The sequence below is a fragment of the Homo sapiens genome, chromosome 10, assembly GCF_000001405.40.
Source record: "Homo sapiens chromosome 10, GRCh38.p14 Primary Assembly".
NCBI lineage: Eukaryota > Metazoa > Chordata > Mammalia > Primates > Hominidae > Homo > Homo sapiens.
The window spans coordinates 127,460,260-127,471,435 of NC_000010.11; the positions used below are offsets into that span (position 1 = coordinate 127,460,260).

Sequence of the window (11,176 nt, forward strand, 5' to 3'; positions counted from 1 at the left end):
TTTAGCATTATGTACACTTGCGTTGGAGAGGAGGGCACTTAATATCAAATAAGGAGCTTCCTGCAAAATGCAGGGTTATTTTTAAGCTCCTACATATTTTTGGGTTTTTTGCAGGGAACACAGATGACATCGTGGGGTTTCACTGCCTTGCTAAAGCTTTTTCACATGAAAAGCAAACTTTGGAAGGCAAAGCAATTATCATGGAAAAGCAACATCAGAATCATTCCTCAGAAATGTTTCATTTTTCAGAAATGTTAGTGAAATGAGTGTTCTTTGACAGGAAGACCATATTATTTCAGCGCTGGAGCGAGGAGGTGCTGCTGCTTTTGGTCCTATGCCTCCCGAGGAGGCTCAGTTGGCAGCCTGGAGGTGAAATGGACAGAAAGGGCCTGTGGGTCACAGCTATTTTTTTAATGCTCCTTGGATAAATGTTCCCCCTCCCCAAGGGAGGACTGCCAGGGATTAGAACCAAAAACTGACAGCTAAAAACGGTGCACTTCCCAAGTACCTCGGTCCTCCTGGCTGAGAAAAGAGATTTGCATGGAATTGTGGAGACTGTGAAGTCATCCTAGGAAGGGATGACCCAGCAGAGAGCAAACGTGACCTCCAGAGCCCTGCTTCCTGGCAAAGCAACCTGGAATTTTCAAAATCTGTCATGCAGTGAAGACTCAAATGCATTAGCCACCTTAGTCCTTCCAGCTGAATTTGTCATCAGAAGTAAAAGGAAAGGAGGGATCCACAGCTGGAACAGGCTCATATTTTAGAAAAGCCAAAAATGAATTCCAGTATTTGTCTCAGGAAGGACCCTGAGAACTCACAGTGCTCAATGCCCTCAATGTTTAGAGTCTTTATTCATCATAACACTCCATGTGAGCCTGGGAGGGACAAGATACAGAATGGCCACACAGTACGCCAAGTCACATAGCTGGTTTGCTATTTGATGACATTTTTAGAGCTCACTTTGGATTAGAAATGGACAGTTGAGACTTCAAACTATACTACAAGGCTACAGTAACCAAAACAGCATGGTACTGGTACCAAAACAGAGATATAGACCAATGGAACAGAACAGAGCCCTCAGAAATAATGCCACATATCTACAACTATCTGATCTTTGACAAACCTGACAAAAACAAGAAATGGGGAAAGGATTCCCTATTTAATAAATGGTGCTGGGAAAACTGGCTAGCCATATGTAGAAAGCTGAAACTGGATCCCTTCCTTACACCTTATACAAAAATTAATTCAAGATGGATTAAAGACTTAAATGTTAGACCTAAAACCATAAAAACCCTAGAAGAAAACCTAGGCAATACCATTCAGGACATAGGCATGGGCAAGGACTTCATGTCTAAAACACCAAAAGCAATGGCAACAAAAGTCAAAATTGACAAATGGGATCTAATTAAACTAAAGAGCTTCTGCACAACAAAAGAAACCACCATCAGAGTGAACAGGCAACCTACAGAATGGGAGAAAATTTTTGCAACCTACTCATCTGACAAAGGGCTAATATCCACAATCTACAATGAACTCAAACAAATTTACAAGAAAAAAACAAACAACCCCATCAAAAAGTGGGCAAAGGATATGAACAGACACTTCTCAAAACAAGACATTTATGCAGCCAAAAAACACATGAAAAAATGCTCATCATCACTGGCCATCAGAGAAATGTAAATCAAAACCACAATGAGATACCATCTCATACCAGTTAGAATGGCAATCATTAAAAAGTCAGGAAACAACAGGTACTGGAGAGGATGTGGAGAAATAGGAACACTTTTGCACTGTTGGTGGAAATGTAAACTAGTTCAACCATTGTGGAAGTCGGTGTGGTGATTCCTCAAGGATCTAGAACTAGAAATACCATTTGACCCAGCCATCCCATTACTGGGTATATACCCAAAGGATTATAAATCATGCTGCTATAAAGACACATGCACACGTATGTTTATTGCGGCACTATTCACAATAGCAAAGACTTGGAACCAACCCAAATGTCCAACAATGATAGACTGGATTAAGAAAATGTGGCACATATACACCATGGAATACTATGCAGCCATAAAAAATGATGAGTTCATGTCCTTTGTAGGGACATGGATGAAGCTGGAAACCATCATTCTCAGCAAACTATCGCAAGGACAAAAAACCAAACACCGCACGTTCTCACTCATAGGTGGGAATTGAACAATGAGAACACATGGACACAGGAAGGGGAACATCACACACCGGGGACTGTTGTGGGGTGGCGGGAGCGGGGAGGGATAGCATTAGGAGATATACCTAATGCTAAATGATGAGTTAATGGGTGCAGCACACCATCATGGCACATGTATACATATGTAACAAACCTGCACGTTGTGCACATGTACCCTAAAACTTAAAGTATAATAATAATAATAATAATAATAATAATAAAAAGAAATGGACAGTTGAAAGGTGGGTCTTTTATTTTTCTTAAGGATCCAAGCCTCCTTCACTGGTGTGAAGCACAACTCATAATTAAAAATCAGCAGCAGATTGGACTACTAGGCTGCCACGTTGTTTTTCTCTCTACAAGTGTAACAAAGTAGCTGGCCAGGCTGCAGTTCCTTTTCTAACAATGGTGTAATTATGAGCCAAAGCCACAGTTACCAAAGGTGATTGTTCATGCTACAGTGCCTTACCAAATTGTGTACATATTAATTACTCAAAGCTATCATCCTGCCAGTGATTGGAGTAGTCATCCTTTCACATCACCCTCCACGGATAACCATGTTGAAAGAGAGAGAGAACCAGTTCTTTCCTTCCTCACCTTTGTGAGGGAAAGGGGAACACCCAGTTGGCCAAGGTCCAGGGGAAGACAAATAGAGTTCTTAACCCAAACAGGCTGCTTCCGAGTAATCTAAATGTAACCCAGGGCCCCAGAGGAGCCAGTCTTTGAGAAAAGCGGACTCAAATGAACAACATTTGAATAGAAAAAAATAATTAAAACCAAGGGTCTTGCAGAAATCCACTGAACTTAAGGGCCGGGAAGGAGTAGCAGGTACAGTTCTTAAAAGCCCTACTAGTCAACTTAAAAACAGGCTTTCTCCTTTGTGGTCACTATTCATCAATGCACGTAGCAGCTGGGCCTCTCACACTCTGCCCCACTCCCAGTTCCCTCCAAAGCCCTCTGGGAACACTCACCCTTCCTATTCCAGACATTTCATTTGTTTCTACCTGCCATTCTCCCTGCTTTTGAAGGTAGCTCTCCTCCTCCTTCCAGGACTCAGCTCTTTGTTCCCAGGGTCCTCCCAGCCTGCCTGAAGCCCATAGAGGGATCAGGCGACCAGAGCCCCTTCCTAGGTGAGTATGGACACCCCAGAGGGCTGTGTCTCCAGCACCGTGGTTCCTGCCACATAGATCATGCCACGTGTGGCGACAGGGAAGAAGAGACGATGCTGTTGGAGGAAGGACTCCATGTCCTTTTCTCCCTTCCTGCATCAGGGGTCCCTGCTGTCCCTGTGCCCTCCCTTCAGCTAAGCGCCCCCTTCTCCCCCTGAGCATCCGTCTCCTTCACTGGAGCAGCACTCACAGGACCCTCCGCAAATCCTCACATTCTTACTGGAGCTGGGGAAGCTGAGTGGCCACCCAGCCCGATTTCATTGTGTGCCTTTGCCCCTAGTACCATATCCTCAGAAGCCGTCTGGTCCTTCCCCAGGTGAAGGGGAAGATGGGATGCAGGGAGCCTCCACCCATATACACTGGAGCTTGGGTCACCCAATGGATGACGCCAATGGATGGAGAGCGTCACCAGATGGATGACCAGGAAACCCTCCTTGTCCTTGTCCTGCCCTGGGTGAGACCAGCAGCCACCAGTGCTCCTCCCCTCCTGTTACCAGCAATTTGCCTTATTCTTATCCTCCAGCCCTAGCAACACCCTCAGTTGGAGAGTGAGTTTGCAGGGCATACGGGCTCCGGTTCCCATTGGTTGAGAGTCGCCTGTGGGGCTGTTAAGTGCCCCAACCCTCCAGGCTGAGAGAAAGCCTGAGAAGCTTCAGAGAAGCCTTGAGGCAGAAAGCTGAGAGCAAAGGGGCAGTCGGCATGGGTCCTGTCACTTCTTCAACTGTGCTGAGGTCATAGCTGAGCCAGGGAGCATGGCACGGCATCCTGAGAGTGTCCACTGTACTTGACAAAGACACAGGAGGCAACGTCATCAGCCGTAAGCATGGAAGGTGAAGAGGGGGAGGGTCAGCAGGGGTTGTAAAGCACCTGAAAAGAAGAACAGGCATTGAGGTGGCGAGAAAGACCAGACCCCAGGGTCTGGAGTTGCTAGCAACTGAGGGAGAAGATCAGGAGGTCAGCAGAAGACAAAAAAGGAAGGGATTGCAGATGGGGGAACCGGCTGGGATGAGGCATCTGGTGCCAGATATAGCTCAGGGCCAAGTACTGGTAGTGGTGGACATCATTTCTTCATAGGAGCAGGAGGAGGATGGGGGAGGAGTGATCGGGAGGTGGCAACCAGGAGCAAAGAGGACAAGTACATGTTTAGCACCCCTAGCCCTGACCAGAAGCAAAGAGGACGAGTACCTGTTCAGCACCACCACCCCTAGCCCTGAGGTATAGGGGATGTGAGAGGAAACGGGGTTTGTTAAAGACGGTTGCAGGGAGTCAGGGTCTGCAGGAGTCAGGCGGCAAAGCAATCCAGGTTCAGATTAAGGGAGCTGTGGAGGCGGTGGGGAGGGGCTTCCAGAAGGTGGGTGCGGGTGCAGACCCCGAGAGAGCACGGGGCTTCCAAGTCCAGAGCAGCAGCGGCAGGGCGATGTGTGTCTTTGAGAACGCCTGTTACCACAGGCCAGCCCACAGAGGGAGAGAGTGGGATTGACAATAATTGAAGAAGAGAAAGAAGGAAGAAGGGAGGTAGAGGAAAAAGGAGAGAAGAGGAGAAAGGAAAAGAAGGGAGGAAAGAAGACAGAAGAGAAGAGGAGAGGAGAAAGGACAAGAGAAAAAGAACACCTGGCCCAGCTGTGCAACGGCAGCTCTACCTAATTCACACACTCTGGGGACCTGTCATCGATTTCACCGACTCAGAGGATGCCCAGCCAAAGAAAGAAAAAGAAAGGAAATCCCAGCCAGTGCCCACCGAATGCCCAGGCTTGCCTCTTTCTGACAAGGCTAATTCGCACCCGTCTCTGTCACTTGTTCCCTTCCTGATAGATTTCTTTGGTGGGGACAGGAAATGCCATCTTGAGTCTGAGGAAATGAAAAACAGAAAAATCTTAAAACTTTAATCACTACCATCAGCTTCCTAGAGCCCCTTAGTCATGAGCCAAGAAAATTATAATTATAATGTTGGCGAATTATTATTGTACATAAAATACAATAATCCGCATTATTGTTATAGCAGTAATCGTTCTACTTTTTAAAATACCTTCACCTGTATTATCTCATTGAATTTTTTTTTTTTTTTTTGAGACAGAGTCTCACTCTGTCACCTAGGCTGGAGTGCAGTGGCACGATCTTGGCTCAGTGCAACTTCTACCTCCCGGGTTCAAGCGATTCTTCTGCCTCAGCCTTCTGAGTAGCTGGGACTACAGGCACGCGCCACCACGCCCAGCTAATTTTTGTATTGTTAGTAGGGACAGGATTTCACCATATTGCCCAGGCTGGTCTCAAACTCCTGACCTTGTGATCCACCCGCCTTGGCCTCCCAAAGTGCTGGGATTACAGGCATGAGCCACCACGCCCGGCTATCTAATTGAATTTTTATAAATATCTTGCAAATAGATAAGAAGAGTAACATATTTCCTTCCCATTTCATGGAGGAGGTACTAAAACTTGAAAAGTTCGGGTCCCTGTGGCTGTGGCAAAACCAAGCCCCCAGACTTTCCAGCCAGGCCTCCCATGAGGCTTAGAACAGGTAATGTCTCATTTAATCTTCTCAACACCCCATCAGGTGGCTGCAGCCTGACATATTCATTTATTCCACATAAGTCCATTTTTTCTAGGTGCTAGGATAAGGCGATGGGAAAATGCCCATCCAAAAAGCCCTTCACCTTAGGGCTTACGGAGTGGTGAGGACTCCACCTCTGGAACCTGACAGCTCAGTGTAAATCCTAGTTCTGCCACTTACCACTTGTGCAAATTATTCACCTTGAGCAAGTTAATGAACCTAAGTCTCATCGTCATTATCAAATCATGATATAAGTCATTTGAATAATAATATGAATCTATGTCCTGAAGAATGGGATTGATGTGTCAGCTGGTCATTATCCCAGCCAATCAACATGAGCATCCCCTGGCAATTTTTATTGGTCCAGAGATGGACATGAAACCTACATGGACCCAGTCAGACTGAAGGGAGATTTTTTTTTTTTAATCCTTGGGGAAGAGGTTCTCCTGCTCTTGATGGTTGTGAGAATGACAGCTTTTGTTCCCAGTCATGACTATGCATGGACCCTGTTGTATAGCTCTCTTGTAATCAGGAGAACCAACCTTAGCACCAGGCTGGCCCTGTATATAGTCTCTCAGTCACATGCAGTTATACACTACCCTGAAATCTAAGTGGCTTAAAACAACACATATCACTCGCTCTTGCTACCTGATCCGCTGTATTCAGCCCTCCTGGAGGAGAAAGGGGAGCTACTCGCTGCAGAAACTCAGTGGCCCAGGCAGACAGAAGCCTCCTCCAACAAGGGGCTTCCACAATCATCCCAGAGAGGGGAAAAGAACATCCTGTGAACATACCCTCACTCGTAAAGCAGCCTCCCAGAAGTGACCCATGCCATTCTGCTCACACTTCACCGGCTAACTCAAGTGGCAAGCAGGAGGGTGGTGAAATGCTAGCAGAGAGTGTAGAAATATTGGGTGAGCATGGAGTCGCAAAGCAAAGAGAGCCCGTGTCCCTGATGGCACTGCTGAGCTGTGGTCCTCAATTTCCAGTTACTGTATGTGAAATGGTGATTTTGCTTATTCTTTGAGCTGGGTATTTCTTTCTGTGAGGTCGGCATAGCCATGCCCCCTCTTTCCTGCCCGACTTTAATACTTTGAGTCCTCTCTCTTTTGTTCTTGGTCTGTCTAGCAAAAGGTTTGTCAATTTTGTTGATCTCTTCAAAGAACCAACTCTTGGTTTTGTTGATTTTCTCTATTGATTTTCTCCTCTCTATTTCATTTATTTCTGCTCTCATCTTCATACTTTCCTTCCTTCTGCTTCCTTTGAGTTTAGTCTGCGCTTCTTTGAGCCATTTGTTGTTTACAGCTGTGAGCATCCTAACTGGTCACCTACCTTGTGGTGGCAGTCAAGAGGCATAAGTGATACAACATGCATGGAGCACTCAGCTCTGTGCAGGGCATGGTGAATGGCAGCTGTCATGACTGACATCCAACTCATCATCCACAACCTATGGAGGCAGGCACTGCCATTTCACTGTGTCTGAGAAGACTGTTCCCCAAGTTCCCAGAGCTCTCTGGGGGAAAAGCTGAGATTTAAACCGGGATTGATTCCCTAAGCTAGACCATCCAGGCCCACAGCTTGCCATAGCACCATGTCCTCTGCCTCCCTTGCCTTTGTCTGGGGAGGCGTGTCCCTGAGCGGGAGGACAGCTTCCCCTGCAGATAGAAGCTGATGGGAGGCTGACGGGAGGGCAGCATCTCTAATGGGCAATGCCCACCGCTGTGGAGTTCCCGACAGTGCTTGCTAACCCATCATTATGTGTCTTCCCTGGGAACGGTTGCTTGTTCTTCAGGTCACAGTTACACCAAAGACAATTTTCCTCTTAGAACTGCCTTGCCGCCACTGCTCTTATTTCTGCCTGACAAAGAGCATTAGCGACGGGACAGCGTAATTGGAAGTGACTCTCACCATGGAATCATGTGGGGGTGGTGCTTCTTGATGAAGGAAGACACGTGGATACAAAGAACTCTCCTGCCTTTGAGGATGTTGGGGGATTGGCTGAGATGGGACAAGACCCTTATAGGGCCACTACCACCTGTGCTTAACCCAGGCTGGTGAACAAAGTCCTCCTCAGGGGTCTGATGGAGCCCAGCCCCATTCATCCTGAAAGTTCTGAGTATGCTGCTGAGTTTCCCAAATTATCCTGAGAAGTAACCTCCATATTATGGGTGTTTTCACACTAACAAAATACTGGGGACCCAGTGGGGGCTTTCCTAGTGCTCAGTCATCTTTTTCACTTAGAAAGTGGCCCAGGCTGCCTCATCGACGCAAGGTCCCCATCAACACACCCACGTGCTGGGTAGTGTTTTACTCGGGACACACGGGCTCCAGTGATGCCTCAGAGCGATCACAAGTCTTTCTGAGCAGGAGTTAACGTTTCTGAGCTCCAGAATGCCCCTTGTCCCTGCCCATCTTCCTGATGTGCCCCTGCTGCCAGCCAACCTGGGGAACAGCAAGGGATGTCCCTACCCCTGCACAGAATAAGGAGAGTGGTTCTCCTCTTCTTCTTTTGTAAGTGAAGATCACAGGGGAGAGGCAGGTGCTCTGAACAACAGCTGACGACTCAGGAGACTCACGGCCCTCCTTGCTTAGTTCCCGGGAAATGACAGGGCAGCTTATCTACTGTGACCTTGGGCATCTGAGTGTGTACTTTGTACCTATGTGTGGGCACGTGTTGTGTGCACACATGTGTCTGTGTCTCTGTGTGTTGTGTGTGTGTTCATGCATGCAGGGTGCTTTAGAAATAGCTGTTAACAAATAGCTATTCCAATGGACAGGCCATTTCTTGACTTCCTGCTTTATGTTCCTCGGTGCACTAGACATTTTCTCCACATTATTAGGCAAGATTATATCCCCTTGACAGGAGAAGAAGTGAGCATAGAGCCGGCCCTTCAACCCAGATTAGAGGGGCTTCAAGTTCAGCCCTCCATTCCACCCTGCCCTCCAGCTGTTTCCAGGAGGTGATACAGTCCATGCTAAACCCAGCTGGGACCCAGTGGCAATTTCAGCCTCCCTCTCCATCCCGCAAGGCCTGGATCCCACACGCAGGGGCATAGCAGAAGCCCTTTTGCCCTTAGCAGCTCAAAACAGAGAGAAGGCAGAGTGACAGTGCCCAGGAAGGGCATGAATTGGTGATCCATCTCAGCACCACACATGATCCAGTGGGCTCATAGATGCTTGCCCACGAGGCTGGGCAGACAAGAGCTGGTTCCATCACCTCCTTCCACAGGTACATAGATCCTTCCAAAAACAACCAACCGGTCTTAAGCATCCCTTTATTGAGAGGACCTGTGCTAAAACAGAGCTGTGGCCCCAGTGAATTATGGGTCAGTGTGGGCAGAGGCCACAGGAGTGGGGTCCCCCACCTACCCAGTGGGGGCAGCTACATGAGGATGAGCACAGTATTAGGAGCTAAGGCCAGCCATGCCAGCTTAGACACAGGCGGGACCAGTGACCAGGACAGAGCCACGTGCCACTTGGCCACCTGCAGCGAACACTTCAGAGCTCCTCCACCTGAACAAGGAGCAGCCAGCAGTAAGGCTTCATTTTTTTTTTTTTTTTTTTTTTTTGAGATGGACTCTCACTCTATTGCCCAGGCTGGAGTGCAGTGGCACGATCTTGGCTCACTGCAAACTCTGCCTTCCGGGTTCAAGTGATTTTCCTGCCTCAGCCTCCCGAGTAGCTGGGACTACAGGTGTGTGCCACCACGCCCAGCTAATTTTTGTATGTTTAGTAGAGACGGGGTTTCACCATGTTGACCAGGATGATCTCGATCTCTTGACCTCGTGATCCACCTGTCTCGGCCTCCGAAAGTGCTGGGACTACAGGTGTGCGCCACCACGCCCAGCTAATTTTTGTATTTTTAGTAGAGACGGGGTTTCACCATGTGGACCAGGATGATCTCGATCTCTTGACCTCGTGATCCGCCTGCCTCGGCCTCAGAAAGTGCTGGGATTACAGGTGTGAGCCACCGCCCCTGGCCAGGCTTCAGTTTTTAAGGATGGAGGCAGACTGCCTTTGGAAACTAGTCAGGGCTCCCCTTAGCTCCTCGCCCCTGGCTCTTTACACGTTAAGCACTCAACAAATAATTGCTGCATGACCAACCCATCACACTAAATTATGAAGGAAAAAAAAAGTCAGCAGAAGCCAATGTCGTCAGCAACAACAATAAGAAAAAGACCCTCTAAAACATCATCTTTAATATTCGGCTCTCTGCTGAGCATATCAACTTTGGAAACATCCCATACCTATCTTGCTGAACTCCTTATAATAAAACTTTAGGCTCCTCAGTAATGAATTTCAGAATCTAAAATATGTCTGTGTTGAGCCCTGCCCTACCTTGACAGATAAAGTGAGTCTTATCAAGGGATATACATTACACAACGTCTTTTGTTTCAGATCTAACACGAATCCATGTGTCCAGGGAAACTCTCTGAAATTCATGGTTCAGAGCCTTTTGTCTCACAAACTAAGTCATGGTCCAAACTCCAGTTCCTTCCCTCTGCCCATCCTAGAATTTGCTTGTGTGAAGGACTCTTTCTTCAAGACCTGAGAAGATGACAGCTTGGTACCAAAGAGCAGGCTGGAAAGACCCAAGAACAGATCCATCCCTGGCCATGGTGAGGGCAGCTGTTCTGGTCAGCGCTAGCTAGGGTCCACACACACCACCGTCATCCTCTGACTCCTGATTTCTTTTGAGGGTCTTCTGCAGGGACCCCAGTGGTCCATCTCTCTCTGGTCACATGGCAGGCCTTCAGGAGGCTCTTCGGGGGTGGTTCAGAATCCTGCAGGGAAAGCTGCCCCCACATAGGCTCAGCACAGAGAAAGAACTCACCCTGCAGTTCAGATGGGCTGGCACTGATTCACCAGCTGAGCCCCTCCACAGGCAGACAGGATTCCCTCGTATTCCCCGGTCTCTGATCTCAAGCACCGTTCCTTCCCTCGCAGCCTCCTGAGACCTGCCTGATCATTAAGTGCACTCTCTGCCCAGCATGAAAGCAGTGCTCTTAGGAAGATGGCAAGCTGTGTCCTCAGATGGTCTTAATAGTCCTAATTTCCAGGGAAGCTATACATGGTGCTAAGGCTGGATAGTATTTGTCAGTGAGAAAACTGTTTGGTTACTCCAGAGTGTGTATCACTTGATTACTTAAAGGATGAAGTGTGTGAGATTTTAGCCTCAGGAGGGAAGGGTCTCCCTATCAGGGCAGGCCAGGGGCTAGTCTATCCTACAGCCCTCAGCACCTAGATCTTTGTTCA

At 47.9% G+C, this 11,176-nt stretch overlaps 1 annotated feature.

Annotated features, from left to right (window-relative positions):
- Window positions 3,537-4,037: an enhancer, noted in NCBI's record as "H3K27ac hESC enhancer chr10:129262060-129262560 (GRCh37/hg19 assembly coordinates)". NCBI's record gives its function as "activates a minimal SCP1, AML or CMV promoter by ChIP-STARR-seq in naive H9 embryonic stem cells {active_cell/tissue: H9 hESC(naive)}" and the evidence as "EXISTENCE:reporter gene assay evidence [ECO:0000049][PMID:30033119]".